The sequence below is a fragment of the Homo sapiens genome, chromosome 13 (genome assembly GCF_000001405.40).
Source record: "Homo sapiens chromosome 13, GRCh38.p14 Primary Assembly".
Taxonomy (NCBI): Eukaryota; Metazoa; Chordata; class Mammalia; order Primates; family Hominidae; genus Homo; species Homo sapiens.
The window spans coordinates 44245381-44264839 of NC_000013.11; the positions used below are offsets into that span (position 1 = coordinate 44245381).

The 19459-nt window shown below is 44.4% G+C and overlaps 2 annotated features.

Annotated features, from left to right (window-relative positions):
* Positions 4700–4876: a silencer, noted in NCBI's record as "fragment chr13:44824216-44824392 (GRCh37/hg19 assembly coordinates)". NCBI's record gives its function as "represses an EF-1alpha promoter that drives an FKBP-Casp9 reporter gene in an ReSE screen in phorbol 12-myristate 13-acetate-treated (for megakaryocytic differentiation) K562 erythroleukemia cells {active_cell/tissue: K562(+PMA)}" and the evidence as "EXISTENCE:reporter gene assay evidence [ECO:0000049][PMID:32094911]".
* Positions 18260–19459: an enhancer, noted in NCBI's record as "BRD4-independent group 4 enhancer chr13:44837776-44838975 (GRCh37/hg19 assembly coordinates)". NCBI's record gives its function as "activates an origin of replication core promoter dependent on BRD2, P300/CBP, MED14 and CDK7 cofactors, and independent of BRD4, by STARR-seq in HCT116 cells {active_cell/tissue: HCT116}" and the evidence as "EXISTENCE:reporter gene assay evidence [ECO:0000049][PMID:35650434]".

A 19459-nucleotide genomic window follows, 5' to 3' on the forward strand; every position in this document is an offset into this window, starting at 1 on the left:
AGCATTTAGCACAGTGCCTGGAATATTCCAAGTTGTCCAATAAATGATTGATAATCATAACAATAACAATAATAGAATTTTCCTCTTTCCTGACAGAGAGACCTCTCAGCTCCTTGGCGCTCTATAGGAAGTCAGGGTTGATTCTGTTTGTGGTTTACCATTTAGGATTCACTATGAGGCAGAAGTACAATGTAAGTTACAAGCTATTATTATTACAAATAAGAATTCCTGGAGCAGAGACAATATGCAGTGGTCTGAGTTTGAAGGGACCTGCGATTTTACTTTCTCATCTCAAAAACAAGGATATGGAGGCCCAGAAACCCTGAGTGCTGACCAAGTTTCCAGCTACTTATTCTTAGAGTTAAGACCAGAAACTAGTTATCATGAGTCTTGGTCTTGGGATGTTTTCACTTATCCATTCTACATTTGGCAAGCCTTTAAGTAAGCCAGTTATTTCAGAAGTTGGGCATAAGAAAAGGTGCCCATGGACCGGGTGCGGTGGCTCACGCCTGTAATCCCAGCACTTTGGGAGGCCAAGGCAGCAGATCACTTAAAGTCGGGAGTTTGAGACCAGCCTGGCCAACATGGTGAAACCCCATCTCTACTAAACACACAAAAATTAGCTAGATGTGGTAGTGGGCACGTGTAATTCTAGCTACTTGGGAGGCTGAGGCAGGAGAATCGCTTGAACCCAGGAGACAGAGGTTGTGGTGAGCCGAGATCGTGCCACGGCACTCCATCCAGGCAACAGAGGGAGACTCCGCCTCAAAAAAAAAAAAAAGAAAGAAAGAAAGAAAAGAAAAGGAGCCCATGGTCTTTGCTGCTATGATGGCAAGAAGTGCTGGGAGCTAACATCAAAGGGGGAGAGGTGTTTGGATGCTTAGAGAGCCAGCCTCCGCACGTTTCTCATCCTCCATTGAATGCAGCTCATACCTAAGCAGCACAAATCCAAGAGAAGCAAAGCAGCCTGCAGTGTGGACAGAAGGACTGAACCAAAAAGTCCACACTGAGAGCTCAGCTTCCGGCTTTCTTCCTTGCTGAGACCCTCCCCTGCCCCAAATGAAATACAGTTTTTGCCCCATTAGGCAAAACGTCTTAATTAGCAAGGGACCGATCGTTTCATAATCTTTAAAAAGAACCCACAGTTCTCAAACACCCCCTCACATGGATGCACGTGAGGTATAAGACAGCAACCCAATGTCTGTTACTATGGAACTCAATGGTGTAAAATTAACTCACTAAAGCACACACCCACTGCAAAAAAAAAAAAAAAAAAACAACAAAAAACAGCCTTTGCCAGCTAGGTGCTTCAGAAGGTGATATAGTTTAGATGTGTGTCTCCCTCCAAGTTTCATACTGAAATGTAATTCCAAATGTTGGAGGTGGGGCCTAGTAGGAGGTGTTCGGGTCATGGGGGCAGATCCATCATGAATGGCTTGGTGCCATCCCCTTGGTGATAAGTGAGTTCTCTATTAGTTCATGTCAGAGTTGGTTGTTTAAAGTGCTTGACATCTCCTCCTCTTCTCTCTTGCTCCCTCCTTCGCCATGTGACATGCCCGCTCCCCCTTCACCTTCTGCCATGAGTAAAAGCTCCCTGAGACCTCACCAGAAGCCAAGCAGATTGGGGTGCCATGCTTGTACAGCCTGCAGAACCATAAGCCAAATAAGCCTCTTTTCTTTATAAATTGCCCAGTCTCAGGTATTTCTTTATAGTAATGCAAAAGGGACTGATAGAGAAGGCATTGATGTCACGCTACATATAAAATTTGCATTCTGAGAGTCGCCTCCCACTCAAACGTAAGCTCCATGTGTTCAGGGATTTGCCATAGGTCTGTTCACTGCTGCACAGCCAGTGCCTAGAACAGCACCTAGACAGAGCAGCCAATAAATATTTATTGAACCAATAAATGAATCATACATGAACCAAGTATGAACAGTGGAGGCTGTGAACTGTCTCATGTGTGAGTTATTTACCATCTCTTTGCTGAGTTTCCTCATCCTGAAAAGGCTATATTAATAGGATTGTCGTAAGAATTGTTGGTTTGTGTAAATGTCTTTAAAGCAGTGCTAGTTAATGTTACCTATTTTGGGCTCCATAGAGATTGTGCTTTTTCTATGTCCTCACAGAGGATTGGCAGATAGATATTCAGCGATGTAACATATATACCTGAAAATTATTTCACTCAAATAATCATGTTAGAAAAGTCCTGAAAGAGGCCAGGCACGGTGGCTCATGCCTGTAATCCCAGCACTTTGGGAGGCCAAGGTGGGTGGATTGCCTGAGGTCAGGAGTTCGAGGCCAGCCTTGGCAACATGGTGAAACCCCATCTCTACTAAAATACAAAAAATTAGCCATGCATGGCAGCATGCGCCTATAGTCCCAGCTACTTGGGAGGCTGAGGCAGGAGAATTCCTTGAACCTGGGAGGCAGAGGTTGCAGTGAGCCGAGATCACGCCACTGCTCTCCAGCCAGAGCGTGATTCCATCTCCAAAAAAAAAAAAAAAAAAAGTCCTGAAAGGATTTTTGGTGGTTGGTTGTTGCTTGGTTTGACTTGTTTTCTTAAAAGGCCAGATGTGTATAAGGTGCTTGGTTTTATTATCACGGTTTTATATGAAGTGTTCAGACTCATCCGTGATACCAAAAGAGCCACATTATATTTGGACACTTTCCCTGGTTGATCTCCTTCCTACAAGAATGGAACATGTAACGTCCTAGACACCCTGATGATTCTGTAGTATCAAGCCCCTTCTTGGAAGAAGGCCTCCAAGAGGTTTCCAGGTGGTGAGCCAGGCCAACCTCTTCAGGCGGTGAATCACACCATCCCTAAAGCTCATACCGGCTCACAGATAAGGCCTCTCACCTAGACCCCTCCAAAAGCTTCAGCTCAATGAAAAACAAAGTACATATGGTCTAGCTTTAATCAAAAACTGAGCAAACAATCAAAACAACAACTAGCAAAATGTGTGAATACCTGTTTCTAAGGTATCAGAAACAACTTACAGACATGGATTCACCAAGTCTTATAAAATAGGATGTAAGGGCACATAGCCTCATATTTATTTTACCAAAGAGAACAGAAAAAGTCATTAAGAACCAGCAATGGAATCCATTCTCTCTCTCCTGGATGCACTGTTTAAGTAACTGCACACCCACCTAAAGTTCTCTATTAAAAACCAATACATTGAGAAAACAGTCATTCTCATATTCTACTGCTGAATCTGGCTTGGGACATTGCATTTGTAATAAAAAATATTTGCATATAGAGAAGAGCTGCAGAAATAGCATGGATTTTGGAATCTGAAAGATGAAGTCAAATTCCAGCCGCATGACCTTCAACAAGTTACTTATGTAATCTGAACACAACTTTGTTCTGTAAAATGTGGGCAAGGATAGCAACCCAGCAATGCTGGTATAAAAATTATGGATACTATCTGTAAGCTTCCAGTAGATTGCCTCATTTATAAATGATACTTAGTAAAGGATGATGATGATAATGCTGGCCTTCCCTATTCAAAAAGCACATTCTCAGCTGGCCACAGTGGCTCACACCTGTAATCCCAGAACTTTGAGAGGCCTAGGTAGAAGAATTGCTTGAGCCCAGCAGTTCAAGACCAGCCTGGGTAACACAGTGAGATCCCTTCTCTACAAAAAGAAATTATTTTTAAATTAGCTGGACGTGGTGATGCAAGCCTGCAGTCCCAGCTACTCAGGAGGCTGAGACAGAAGGATCACTTGAGCCCAGGAGGTCGAGACTGCAGTGGGCCATGATCATGCCACTGCACTCCAGCCTGGGTGACAGAGCAAGAACTTGTTTCAATAAATAAATAAATGTAAACAAAACAAAACAAAACAAAAATTCTCAGGATGAACGAACACTTTGTCTTTCCCCCCAGTAATGTTATACTTACGAAAACATCAGGTGCTAAGATTTAATAGCTTATTAGGTCAATTTTTTCGGGGGATCCATTTGCAGAAATTAGATTTGCTGTATTGATTTGACAACTTTGCATAATCCCAACTGAACATTCCCAGCTAAAACAGGGTTTTTCTTTCCGGTTAACTTTAAGACTCTCTCTCTTTCTTACTCCAGAAATTCATTTCTCATTTGGTTTGGGACAGAGCCAGCTGGTAAAAGGTTTCAGCATGTGTTTATTGCCTCTTTGTTCTCAAGCATTTTCTGGGGCCTCCTGGCAGCTCTGGTCTGGAGAAAGCAGCAAAACCCTCTGGGGTTGCAAAGCCCAGACAAATCCCAGGCTCTGACCATGGCCTAGGGGTGGTGAAGAACAGCTAGAAGCCTCCCCTCCCACCCCAAACTCCTGCTCAGAACTCTCAGTAAACACAGGGCAGGAGCCCAGCATTTGGCCCCAGGGGCTTCCTCCTACTGGTGTTGTTTTGGAGTCAGCTGTGCTGCCTCTTGTCAGGCCCTACCCAGGACCTTTCCCCTTGATACTTGCCTGGTCTCCAACAAGCAATTGTTTGGGGAAATGTGTGTGTGTGTGTATGTGTGTGTGTGTGTGTGTGTAGCCCATCAAAACTGTCTTCAACAATGACACTGCTGCTTGTAGACATTACAGATACCCTTGTCCTGGGAGGTCCTTGGGTGTCTTTCCAAATAGATTGCCTGAACACTCAACCCCGGTCCATGCCTCCAAGCCTGAACCCATTTAGGAGTCTTACTCTAAGCCTGGAGGTGAAAACAAGGCTTAGCCCCAGCAGAGTCACCACTGCCCAGCCTTCTCCACCTGCCATCTCCATACCACTTATGGTGTGCCATGGTGGATGCATTAAAGGGCAGTACAACTCAACAGTCAATAGCACCACTGTAGCCTTCAGTTGACCAAGAGCCATATCTAGCTTTGCCATTTTGGGGAGCCTGTGTACAAATATTTATTACTATAAATATGGCCGGGCGCGGTGGCTCATGCCTGTAATCCCAGCACTTTGGGAGGCCGAGGTGGGTGGATCAGAAGGTCAGGAGATCGAGACCATCCTGGCTAACACGGTGAAACCCCATCTCCACTAAAAAATACAAAAAATAAATAAATAAATACGATGTCCCAGGCCAGATCCATATTCAGCAGTAGGATTCAGGAGCTCTATGACATACCTGAGCCAAGTTCATTATCTCACTTTCCCTCAGTTCCTCAAATGTAAAGGAAGGAGAGTAGCACCTATTTCACAGTGCTGTTGTGACAGTTCAATGAGATGGTGGCTGGGAAGGGCTGGTACATGTTGATAGTCAATACAGTACAATCTGAACATAAAATTCCAGCCACCTGAGCTCTCCTCAAGCACACTCAGCAGCTTCGGGTTTGCTTGAGTGAACTCCTTGCAACCCTCTCAAGAGGCTAAGCATGAGAGTGAATTGATCCAGGTTTCTCTGGGAGTTGTTATGCCACTGGTGCTTTTTCCCAGCTTTGGGAATGGCGGGATTGAGTGATGGAATAATGAATCCAACAAACATTTTTGGTGTCAGGCACTTTTGAGGCACAAGTCTACAGAGAGGAAAAGGCCCAGGTCACTATCCTCAGGCTGTGCACATAGGACAGGGAGAGATGGAGACACCCGATCAGATATTGGCAATTCTCAGGGTGGTGAACTCTGTGGGGCTATGATGAAGACATTGGGAAGTGGCTAAGGCATCAACAAAGGCTCCCTACATGGGGTGTCCTCTGACAAGGGTCTCGAATAGGGGCTTACCCAGAGGAGAAAATGAGGAAGGGAATTGCAGGCAGAGAGAATAAGCAAAGGCACAAAAACAGCAAAGAAAATGCCCTATTTGGAGAATGATATAATAAATAGTTCATGTGGTTGGAATGGGAAGAAATTCATCTGGAAAAATTGGACTGTTAGGGACATCTATTCTGCTACAGTGACAGTTTGGCCTAGGCCACTCACTGAGACACCAAAATGAGACAATCAGCCTGGCTCTGTCACCCACCCTCAAGGTCCCCCCACCCCCAGCCACTGAGGGAGGAGAACAATAATTGTCTTAACATGATTTAAGTGGTTCTCTCAGCTCTTGTTCTGTTGTATAAACAAATGTCTTCTTTTTTATATTTTTTATTTTTTCAAGATGGAGTCTCGCCCTGTCATGGAGGCTGGAGCACAGTAGTGAGATCATAGCTGACTGCAACCTCTGCTTCCTGGGTTCAAGTGATCCTTCCACCTCAGCCTCTCAAGTAGCTGGGACTACAGGTGCATACCACCATGCCCAGCATGTGTGTGTGTATCTGTGTGTGTGTGTGTGTATGTGTGTGTGTGTGTAGAGAGAGAGATGGAGTCTCACCATGTTGCCAAGGCCGGTCTTGAGCTCCAGTCCTCAAGCAATCCTCTGCCTTGGCCTCCCAAACTGCTGGGATTACTTGTGTGAGCCACCATGCTCAACACAAATGTCTTCTTAAACTTCAGTTTCTTCATCAGAAAATAGGTTTGGGGTAGGTTCTTTCTTTAGAGGAAGAATGTCATGCAAAGCTCAGTTTCTCATCACCCACTGATGGAAATTATTTGGGGGCATTATTTGAATAAAGCAGTTGTTTAACATACCCTTCAAGAAGATCATGCAAAGCAACTTTCTGGAAATCAGTTCCACACATGGTAATAAACATCTTGAATAAATCTCTTCTCATCTCCTCATGGCCCAACTTGATTTCTCCCTGTCGCCTCTGCTCCCACCTGCAGAGTGATGAGCTATCAAACCTAACTATTGCTTCCACTTCTGATTCCTCCAAGGAGGGGGTCTTACATTTCAGCACAGAAGGAGGAAACATTAACACAGGTGAAAGTACTTAAGCTCCTCCCAGCCATCCTCCCTCATCCTTTGCCCTGACAAAGAAATACAGCTAAAATCTATGAGGGCCTTCAGTGATGAGCTGATAGATCTATTAAATAATCTGACCCATCACCTAGAGTGGTCTGACACAAGTTCCTTTCCCATTCTGGTCCTAGAAAGATATTTTCTCTATTCCATCAGCAGTGAAATTATCTCCGTGTTCGATCTGATCACAGCATCTTTGGAAATCACAGCCAGGCTTCCTGAGGCCATTGCCAGGCCATGTTTCCTACACAAACTGCCTGAAAATTGACCATCAGAGAGTCTTCAGGGCATTAAGCCATCGGAATATTGACAATTCCACTCTTCACCGAAGGAAACTGAGCCACAGTAAGGATATGGGGACGCTCTGGACCCAGAGAAATTCCTCACTGGAAAAGAAAAAAACATTCAATGTCCTTACTTATGGCCTAAGATCCTGGAACTGCTTTCTCCAAGGCAAACTCAGGAATGCAGCACAAAGAGCCTGCGAAGAATACTGGTAGGTGGCTGGGGTGGTAGGAAGAGATAAGTTACAGGCAAACGTTTAAATACATATATATATGTATATATATGCACACAGAGAGCAAAATCCCACTGACCCATGGGAGGTGACTAGAGTTCCACAGTGAAAACTATTCCCTTCACCAAGATAACAATAAGAAACATTTTCACATGAGAAAGTGAAAGCTTCAAGAAGAAAATGCCATTTTAAACCCTGGTTTACCAAAAGAGGTTGTTCTTCGTATTCCCCAAACTTTCTCAAAAGGTCTCAAATATTTGAGTGGTTGCTTCCAGACTGAAGAGCGTCCTCCTTGTTCTTACCTAATTTATTAAACACCCACTCTGCTCTGAGAACTCAGCATCACACAATGACACAGAGTCTTTGTAAAATGGAGTCAGCCTGCCCAGAAAGGGAAAATACAATTAAAAGATCTAACTACACTATCGAAAGAACAATGGTGCATCCGGTTTGCTTTCCTCCATTGAATTTACCTTGACTTTGATGTCAGCTGGCCCAGCCCTAGACTCATTTCTTAGTAAAATGCACATACCCAGAACTTGGAGAGAGGTTGGTGGAAATTTAAAAAAAACAACCCTGAGATCCATGTCTGGGCCAACTGGGGGAAAACAGGGACTGAACTCACAGGCAGCCCAAATGGAACTGCATGCTGGAGTGGCTATGAGAACACAAACCTCCTTCTTCTATGAAGACATTCTGGAGACAGCTTTAAGAGCACCAAGAAATAAAGACTTGAGCTCATTTTATCTGGTTCTTAAGGAGTAGGAAACCCCCGGGGTGATATTTGGGTGGTAGTAGAAAATTTTGTATTTCAGGAAAGTTTTTATATTTCAATAACCATGACCTCATTTTCTCTTCCCCAAAGCCTTAACTTGCTCCCAGAGAAAGACTATTACTGTTATTCCACAGGTGGTCCTGGGAAATGAAGACAGAATGGTCAGGTGGAAGGAAGAATCCCGTCAGGCTTTTAGGAACTCAATCCTGCGCCTCTCACTACCATCCCGCCTCTCTGGATTACCTTTTCCAACATATAGGGCTAAGCTATGGACTACAGCCCATCCTCCTACTTCCTGAAGTTCAGAGCGTGATCTGAGGCAGACACTTGGCTGACCCCTATACGATGGGTTCCAACTCCTTCTACTCCATTGCTGCCTACTACAGAGGCCTGAGTTTAATGGTGCATTTTCCCTTGCAGCTAAGCAAGGTGTAGTCACCTAACAGCAATAATTTAAGCACATTCTTGGAATGACCCCATTTGGCAGATGCATCTGAATGTGTGTTTTGTGCTAGGGAATCTGGGAGTGGCCAACCCAGAGATTCATTCCTTGTCTATGATAAACTTCTGAGCCCTCGGCCTGTCCCGTGGAACATGGGCCATGCAGGTGATTGAGGTCCTGCATTTTGGGCTAAGTGAAGGTTACCAGGTGGAGGTCATTGGTGGGAGGGTGTTAACTGAAAATGCCATGTGAACCATATGCTGTTTGCAAGTGGTTGCAGTTTTCCTGCCCAGACTGCCACCACTGGGCTGTGCAGTTATGCTGTCCAGTCCACTGCCACTGGACTCTTCCAATACGGAAGGTGGTTCTCCCCTCCAGCCTGCTGCCACTGGATTCCCTCCCCTGTATGTGAGCCCTTAATCAAACCCTATGTCTCGTCTGCTGGCTCTAGGTCTCTTCTTCGGCCTTCTTGAAACTGGTGCCTTCCCTATTGAGGTTAACAGGGGTTCAGCACAACGCAAGGGCAGTGTACCCCATTCTGGAATATAAGCAGAAGACTCCTGTGTGCAGCTTCCAGAATGAATTTTCCCTTCTTGAGGAAAAAGGACAGTGTTGGCTGGCCTGACTCTACCACTCCCGCTTCTTCCTGCCTTCAACATGCCACTTGGTCCACAGCGATTGTACAACTGAGACAGAATGCAAATTTGGGTCTTGCCTACTCCAAAGGCCATGCTCCTAACCACCATGTCCTATTGCCTCCTTTCAATCATTTCATTGGCCCACAAATGACAGCCAGCAGAAAGAAACCAATACATGAGGCAGTGAGGAATAGAGAAAAGTGCCCTGGACCAGGCACCTGAAGATTTATCTGAGCTCAGCTCAGGTGCTCGCTCTATACTAGCTGTGTGGCCTTGGGTCAGTCAATTAACCTCTGAGTCTCATTTCCTGCCTTTGTGATAGCTAGCCTGGGAAACGTCTGAAGTTCCTTCCAGTTTTCAAATTCTATGGCTATGATTCTAGAATATGAACCTACTCCAACCCTCCTAATAAGCTACCATATTCCCAAACCCCAGTGAATCTAAGGGCAACCCGGACCCTATGGAGGCAGCAAGTTTGTGACTCAAACCATTCACGTCTCCATCCTTGTTCCTGCTGGACAACACCTTCCTGATACATTGGGAATGCACACGTCCCTACATCTTTGACAGGCTGAAGGAGAGTTTCCAATCATGAATAGAAATGCACTGTGGTCTGGTAGGATTTGCATTCCAGAGACAGGAGGCAGAATCCTACCCCTACCACAAGTCATTTAGTTGTTCTGAGCCCAGGTTTTTCCTGTAAAATTGGGATAACAATGAAGTCTTCCTTACCCTAGTTCCATCCAAAGTTATTGTGAAGTCATGCAAGATAAATCACTTTTAAAATGGAAAACTTGCCATTAACTAGAGTTCAGCAATGCTCAGATAGGCCTAAGTAAGCACCTGATTCAATGCCTGGCATATAAAAATTCCACATGCCGTTCATATATGCAATGCAGAGCCTATATTTCGAGGCAGGCCGATGGCCACTGAGCTGTCTAAACTTTCTGGTCTGTTTTTGCGGGTGCGCATCTTTAACTCAATGAGGGAGAAAGTCTTCTTGTAGTACCCAATTTTATGTTATTGACAAAATCCAGAGGCAGCAAAACAACAAAAGGGGTGAGGGAGTGTGCCGAGGAGTTTCTCCCTTCCAAGTACCGTTGTTAAATTACCTGCACCATCCCACCATCCCCCATCCTACCTCATGGGTTCTGGCGTAATCCCATTAAAGAATTTAAAAATTTAAAGAATGTTAAATGCTCATACAATACCTTTCCAGCCTGGTTGTGATTGATTTGTCTCTTTTCACAGCATGTATATTAATGTAGGCGCTGGTGTTCGGAATGCATGGTTTCTTTAGGAAAGAAATAGCACCATCCAAAATCCAAACTGAAATTCCTGAAACTTAGGACAGCCAGCAAAGCAGGGAATTCATTTTCCATCCTGTTACTTCCTCTCACTGGCTTTCTGGGATGTCAGAGCAAAAGGTGCTTCAGCCTACGAGCTCCATGGGGCACCACAGTTTTGAAACTGCTGCCTGTGTCCTTTGGTTGGAATCAGTGAATATGCCCTGTGTAGGCTTTTCAGAAGCAAGAGGAAGAGTGGCCTAAGCTCCATGAAATACCATTTTGTCTCATATCCATCAGAAAAACTGTACTCCAGGGAGAATATCAAATGATGTCATGCTGCTGCAGTCTAACACTGATGATTTTGATATGTCAGTGGTTCCCACTGGAAAATAATGTACTTCTCAGGATCTTTGTTGGGAGCCGGAGGCTTCTGATTGCTGATTCTCTGAAGCCAGCAGCCTCCTTGCATAAGGAGCCCGATACTCTAAGGCACCATGAGAGTGGCCAACCTCACAGTGGGTGGTTAGCCCTGCAGTGGGGCTAACTAGCCCCACAGAAGGAAGTCCTGCCATGGGGTAAAGACTGGGGTGCTGAGCACTGCTGCCCCTTATTCCCCGCGGGACCCTGTTCTCCTGCTGGGTCCCCTTCTCAGACAGGACACAGCCCTCACCCCCTTGAGGAGCTTACCCTTCTCCACGTCCACACAGCTTGTGGTTCATTCAGGCTGCCTGCTGTCTAATGTCTACTGCCCAATGGGAAGCTTTGTCCTAGCTGGGCATGTGCCCATTTCCAGGGGGGGAAATATCACGTGTGGGAGGAAGTATCACACCGTGGTTAAGTGCCAGGCTTTGAACCACCAGCCTGGATTCTATCTTAATTCTGCTTCTGACACTCTCTGGAATCTTGGAGAAATTTACTTTTCATTCCTTCAGCTGTGAAGGGCCTCACTGAGTTGTTTTGAAGATTAAATGAGTTACTTTGTATGAAACACCTAGTGTTGTGCCAGGCATATAATAAGTGCTCAACAAATATCAGCTACAAGAGAAAACTGCCATTCATTGAGCACCCCTCTGGGTCAGGCACAGTGCTAAGCAGTTTACATTCATTATTTAATCCTCACAATAACTCAATGAGATCCAAACTATTATGTGCATTTTTACTGCCTGAGCAGGTAAGTAGCTTGCCCAAGGCCACAGTGCTAATGAGTGGTAAGTCTGGGGCAAGACTGGAACCCAGGTCTGTCTAATCTGAAATCTTACGTGGAGGCTTGTGTGGAGGAAGCAATACTGTGTCAAGGGACCTGCCGTTGAAGGATTCTCGTGGTGACCCACTGCAAAGCCAGTGGCTGTGAAGGGCACTTATGAGAGGAGCATCTGCTGGGGGTGGGGGTGGAGAGTGTAGACCAGCAGCTGATGGGAGACAAATACCCGCTTTCTCAAACATGCTCGTGGAAGTGTGACAGGCGCCATTGGTTGGCCAACTCAACTGCCATTCCCAGTCTCCTTCCCCCTTTCTCACAGAATCTCAATTTTTTTTTACTTTTGTTCGTTTATTTGTCCCACCACCCATCTCTAGAACTCAATTTGAGTCTCACAAAACTGAAACCTTGTGTTCATTAAACAATAACTCCTCATTTCCCCTATATCTCCAGCCCCTGGAATGCACCATTTTACTTTCTGTCTCTATGAGTGTGACTATGTACCTCATGTAAGCGGAATCGTACAGCATTTTTCTTTTTGTAACAGACTGATTTCACTTAGTATAATGTCCTTAAAATTTATTCATGTTGTAGCATGTGTCAGAATTCCCTCCCTTTCTAAGGTTTAATAATGTTTCATTGTATGTATAGACCATATTTTGCTTATCTGCTCCTTCCTTTATGGGCACCTGGCTTGCTTCCACTTTTTGGCTATTGTGAATAATGCTTCTATGAGCATGGGTATACAGTAGTCTCCCTTTATTCTTGCATGTTAGTTACCCATGGTCAACTATGGTCCAAATATATTAAATGAAAAATTCCAGAAATAAATAACTCATAAGTTTTAAATCGCATGACACTCTGAGTGTCGTGATGAAATCTCACACCATCCTGCTCCATCCCCCCAGGAACGTGAATCACTATTTTGTCCAGGGTGTATCCACACTATGTATGCTGCCCACCCATTAGTCACTCAGTTATCAGATCCAATGTCACATCACCGTGCTTGTATTCAAGTAACTTTTATTTTACTTAATAATGGCCCCAAAGTACAAGAATAGTGAGGCTGGCATATTGTTGTAACTGTTCTATTTTATTATTAGTTGTTGTTAATCTCTTCCTGTGTCTAATTTATAAACTAAACTATATTCTAGGTATATATGTATGTATAGGACAAAACATGATATATATGGGAGAATCTTAATTTTAATAGGGTGACAATGCAACCATCCCTAAGAAAGGAATCATGGCTCTCTTTCATTCCCCTTTGCTAGATACTTACTGCTATGAACTGAAAGTTTTTGTCCAAACCAAAATTCATATGTTGAAATCTTATCACCAAGGTGGTGGTATTAGAAGGTGAGGCCTTTGGGAGGTGATTAGGTCATAAGCGTGGAACCCTCATGAATGAGATTAGTGTCCTTACAAAAGAGGCCCCAGAGAGCCACCTTGCCCCTTCCACCATGTAACGGCACAGCAAGATGGCGCCATCTATGAACCTGGAAACGCACCCTCACCACACACCAAATCTGCTGGTTCCTTGATCTTAGATTTCCCAGCCTCCCTTCTTACCAATACATTTCTGTTGTTTATAAATTACCCACTCTACAGTATTTTGTTATAGTAGACCAAATGGACTGAGAAGGAAATATAAAAAAAAAGTATTGAGGGCTTTAGAAAAGACTTTTGTTTCTTAAAAAATAAAAATCTAGAGCCTAATAAAGAGAAGATTTGCCCTTATGATGCTCATGCAAGGACGGAAACCACCAATAAGCACCCTAAAACCAAGAAGCATGAGGACAAAAGCCAGCAGCATGGAGCATGGCAATGGAGAGGCTGGGAAAGCCTGGAAAGATAACCAAGTCAGCCAACAAACTCCGGGGCCACTTACATCCAGACTTTTTAAGGAAATAAAAAGTGCATTTACGAGTTTATTTACTTATAGTCCTTAGTCAAGTGTTCTGTTCCTAAGTGAAACAGAAAGCGGCCTTGAAGGAAAGGAGCTTAATGACGCTAGATCCAGATCTTGTAGTCAACATTAAAACCCCTCTCTCTGCAGTCTCATGGCGACTGTACCTCATTCTGCCTGATGTTTCCAAGACAGCTGTTTACATAACTTTCTTCTTCCCCTTTTCATAACCACTGCCCCCGCCCCCATGTCACCAATGATAAGAAGGCAGAGAGTTTGTCTGAATCATTTTTGTACCCACCACTTTCCCCCACCCCTGCCTGCTATAGATGACTCATTATACCATTTCTATCTTGAATTGTCATTCCCATTACAGGCAGAGAGGACAAAACACAACCACATGCACACACTTTTACACACACAGAACCATATATGTTTATCGACCTGATACAGGGAAATCAGTGGGCTACGGGTGCTGTCCCCCCATTTGAAATCTAAGCATGCCAAGAAGAAGGCAGAGAGGTGAAAGAAAGTGGAGAGAGATTGAATGAAAGAAACTGAGGAGCAAAGGAAGAGAGAGAGAGAAAGAGAGAAAATAACACCACACAGCAGCAGCTCCAGGGCTTGACATCAGCGAGATTTACTGCACTAATATGCCTAGCTGCCTGCCATAATTAGTTTCTGTAAAAACCCTATCTTCTCGCTCAGATTCAATTAAATCATACGGTGTTTATTCGCAAGATTTCTTATTCCACGATGGGAGGGCTGGCAGGACCCCAAGCTCAGCTCACCCACCTGTTCCTTGCCTGGCACTATTTCTGTATCAGTCACGTTTTCAGGTGGTCAGGCAGCCAGGGGATGAATGGGTGAGTGTTTGTGCTCGGAGATACAGGAAGACACCACACACAGCAGCCAGGGCCCTGAATGATGTCATTTTCTTCATGGCTTAAAAGGAAAACATGCACCAGAAATGGGTACCAGAGTGATAGTGAACCTGGTGTCTGATCCTAACACTGGTTATTTTTAAACCCCCTTGTGTCAAGGAGGCAAAACCAGAGTGATGGTTATTAAAAGTCATTTTAAGAACAGGCTCTAGGCTTGTTAGAGAAAATCCTAACAAACCTAGGCTATAAGATAGCAAAACATCTGATTCAGGGAATTGCTCTGTGTGGGATTTCCTGGTCACTCTCCAGGGGTGACTTGGACGGAATGCACTATATGTGCTGCCCTCCATTGCCCTTGGGGTGAAAAAACAGCCCCTCAAAATGCCACCAGTGTAAGAGATATGCATGTGGGGAGGCTATGGGGAGGAGAAGAGAGTCCTGCTCCTAATGAAAAAACAGATTTCTGCATGACACCACGCTCAGCTGCAAGAGCAGTTTTTTCCTCCTGAAGCTGAAATCAATATTAAATTAAATCTGTGTGCTTTGTCTCCATGAATAACTTTCTAACATTCTACATTGGCCAATCAGAATCCCTTCACCCTTGTCAATTCCACTTGGGTAACTTTTTTTTTTTTTTTACTCTGTTTCTTTGCCACCAAACTGCGTGTTCCCATAGGAAAGACACAGCATAACGCATCAGTTGCTCCTTGCTACTAAACAGTTGGTGGGAAAACTAAAATCTGCAGGGAAGAAGAGTAAGATAATTTTTTAACTCTTCAAGGGCACATTTCCTGTTAACCAGCTCTGTCCCCTGGGACAAGTGTGTTAAATGAATATTGACTTGGGGAAGAATCTGGGATCAAATAGGATTCTGAGCCTGTGAAGATGCTTCTCTCTCCTCATCCCCATGCTGGTGGGTGATTTTTTTAAGGTCTTCATCTTCTAATTCCCCTATTTCAACTGTTTGAATCTTTCTGGGAGACTGATTCTTCATTGAGGCTGCACTTGAGAACATGACATAAAACCATAATTTTAAAAGCACTCTAAGACTTGATACAATGAAATCAACTTAAATGTAATTATTTCTTTCCAGGATATTCTTTTTTTTTTTTTTTTTTTGCCTTTTTAAATCATTGCAGTTCTTTTCTGCTAATCTCTAACATCCCTATTCCATGACCCCCCACCAATAAATCCTAGTTTTGCTTCCTCCTTGGCCTGACTTTTGCTTGTTACCCGGAAGCATAAAAGCATCTCAAGTTTAAAAGACGTGTGGTCAGAAGCAAAGAAAAGACCCACCAAAGATGATGTCAATTAAGTCTAGCAGAAGCATTTCTTTCCATGAAAGCACACAGCCCCTAGCATCTGGGGGGAGAAGCTAACATGGTTGAGTCCCTACTGTATGGCAAGCATCTTCAATTAATCGAGACAACAACTTGCAATGCAGTGGTTATACTTGGTAAGTGAGGAAGCTGATGTTTGGAAAGGTGAAGCAACTTTTAGCCCGGTGACAAGCAAAGACTCAACCCTTGCCAGTAGAATTCCCAAATCTGATATACTGCTTGTATATTGGCAGTGAAACATATTCCCTACTCTCCCTACACATCTCCACTATTCACAACCCTCAATCCCTTCCTGAGGTGCTGAGCACAGTGAGTGCACCATCCAACCAGAAGCAACAGCTGTGGAAAGAGCCTTTGGAGGGGCTGGCATCAATCAAAGTCCAGGCATAAACCTCAACAACACAGGACAGCATATCTAGGCTGTAGGACACCCAGATTGCTGAATCTCCTTGGTGACTATTGAATAAATGTCCATCAAGAAGAGGAAGGGGAGATTATCACCCCCTAGAGGATAGACCAGCAGTCACTGTTTAATACCAAAATGACCCCCTGCTCCATGTGGTCCTGGCCAATGGCACCAAAAGGTCTTAACAGGCCTTGCATTATCCCTTGGTCCTGTGATTCTAAACCAAGAGACCCTTGATCTCTGTCCAACTAGAAAACAAGAAATTCATAATATGCCAAGAATACGACTGTCTACTTCATTATTTGACATTAGGAGAGACAGAAGATTCAATTCTATGCCTGTCTTCAACTTGGCAAACACCCATTATTTGCTTATGCTTACAACTTTTCACAAAATCAGCCCCATGTGCTGGCCTGAGCCCTGACCAGGGGATGGTAGGTGTATTCCAGTGCACCCAGCTCAGGGGAGGGCTGACCCTCACCCACCTCCTGATTGTGTTGTTGACCATCCCATCCCTAAGGTGGTACTGATTAAGAGCATAAACTCGGGAGCCAGACAGCCCGGGTGAGTCCCCAGCTGTGCCACTTATAGCTGTGTGACCTTGCATGATGCCTCTGTACTCGCTCTGTAAAGTAGAAAAGAGAGAATACGTTTCCCTAGAATCATTGTGAGGGGCAAATGAAATATTATATGTGAACTTAGAACGGCACTGACTTGAGTCAGGGGTCTATAAATGAGGGCTGTGTCTAATATAATTATTAATATTGCTCCTGATAATGTTTGGGAAAGGCAGCCTCCTTTTCCAATACTTTCTTAAACCCACCCAGCTCTCACAAGGACAAAAGAGACTAAGGAGGCAGGACCCAGGGTGGTTCTGGAGGTCAAAGCTGTGCATTAGAAGGCAAGGAGCCCTGGATTAGATGCTATCAGACCTAGGAACAAGTCCCCCTCTGCTTAGATGAGCCACAGGATCTCCGTAGATCTCAGCTTCCACATCTGCTGTGCACTGAATTATGTTCCCCCAAAATTCATATGTTGAAGCCCCAACCCCCAATGGGATGGTATTTGGAGACAGGGCCTTTGGAAGTTCCTTTGGTTTAGATAAGGTCCTTGTGATGAAGTTCGTGCCCTTATAAGAAGAGACGCGAGAGAGCTTGCTGTCTCTCTCTCTCTACCTGACATGTGAGGATGCAGACAGGAGGCCATCTATGAGCCAGGAAGTGGGCCCTCACCAGAAACCATGCTGGCACCTTGATCTTGGAATTCTAGCCTCCAGAACTATGAGAAATAAATTTCTATTGTTTAAGCTATCCACTCTGTGGCACTTAGTTACAGCAGCCTGAGCTAACGAATACAACACTCGAACCTGGAACCACCATTCTTACAGCTCCTTCCCCACAAGAGAGAGAAGGGTTTTCACATATAGATGGGGTTCCTGCACAAGATCCTATTGTAAAAAGGGTTCTAAGGCTGATAATTATTTTTAAACCGCCATAACAGAGGATTGAAAAATCCCTCCCACTCTAGCAGTGTTTCTGTGAAATCCATGCATAAGAACTCTTAATTCTTATGACATTGTACTAGAAAGTCATAGTTCACAGAACTTCATTTTCCACAAAATTGATGTTTTCCCCTGTTTTATGTTATCAAGTCAGTAGGAAATCTTCCTGAAATATTACTATACACTCATCACCTTAGAATCTATATATATGTGTGTGCATGCATGTATATATGCATACATATCTAGCTTTTCTTGGTGACGTATTGGTATTGTTTTGATCACCAATATTTGTACCTCTGGAAACAGAACAAGGCCTTCGGTGGCTATTGAGATATGCAATACTCTTTGCCTCCAGAATCATTTTGGGGGTGCTAAATGATCCCAGAATACCCTCTGAGTAGATGTTGCTCTCTGTGTTAAATGTGATCAGTTGCCTCCAAATCTGCATGATGCTTTATTTCACATACTGTTCATGGTGAGGCCCTGAGAATGGCTTCACATGGCATACATGCTGTAAAATGCACGTGCCCTGTGGGCTATTTTCCCCAGTGGCTTGTACACTAGTGCCATAAGCATGCACCTGTTTACACCCACTACATGACTTGGGGTGCTGGCCATTCAACTGCTAGGCTTGGCGCTGTGGACACTCCTGCAGATGGCACTGCCCAGAGGGCTCAAGGCAATTGGAGAGCTCACGATGGATGCCATCAGCAGTAAGGAGAAGCTCACATCTTCCACATTCTAAACATGAAATGCTGGAAACAGAAACAACCACTGTGGTCTGTTGTGGGAATGTACTGACCAAGCGTGGGGAGCCTGGACACTGCAAGAGGATCCTGAGAGTCCAGGAAGTCAGAGACATCGCTGTTGAAGTCGCACATCATGGGCACACATATGAAGCAATGCACACTGTATTCTGAGTAGATGGAGAGAAAAAAGAATGAATGGATAAGGCCGGACTCAGGAAGCCTTGTGACAACCCACCATGGCTACCGCCCACGCACACAGTGACAGCTTTCCCACCCCGGAGGCGCTTGCAAGCCGAAGTGGATACTTCTCTCAGTCCTCTTCTGCCCACTTAACGAGGCCCTGTGCAGACAAATTGTCTAAATGTTGTCCCCATGACAACGAACTAATTTGCAGAATGCCGGAACCAGGAGGGAATCAACCCCACTGAAAAACAGACTTGAAACTTTTTCCTGATGGAGATGACGTGAGAACACTCCAGGCCAGAGAACGATAGCAAGAGGTGAGGGGCAGTCCTCCCGGCCAGCCTTTTTCAGGGAAATCCCCTAATCATATTCCTTCATACACCACGTGGGGCTGGTTGTGTTTCCCACTTGGCCTTGGGAGGTGGTTCACACTTACAGTTCCTTCTGACTTGCAATTTCTTCCTTGCTGTCAGCATCACAAGATCTGCATTGCTGTGCCTCGACAAAGCTGATGCTCATAAAATTTCCATTGTTTCGCCATCTTAGCCTCCACCACAGAAGATTTTGTATCGGGAATCTGCCTCATTTCCTTTTATTTGGGTTTTGATACCTACCCTTGTGGTTTTGGAACATTTGTTTTGTTCTGTTTTGTTCTTTAAATGACTTTTGGTTGGAACACTGAATTTGCGTTGTGAGACTCTTGTCTTAATTTCTCCCCTTCTCTCCATAAAATTATTCACTCTGTTGCCCCGGAGATGAGATAAAATTCACAGCTCTCTCATAGCAACACTTTTGTTTTCCCTCTGTGAG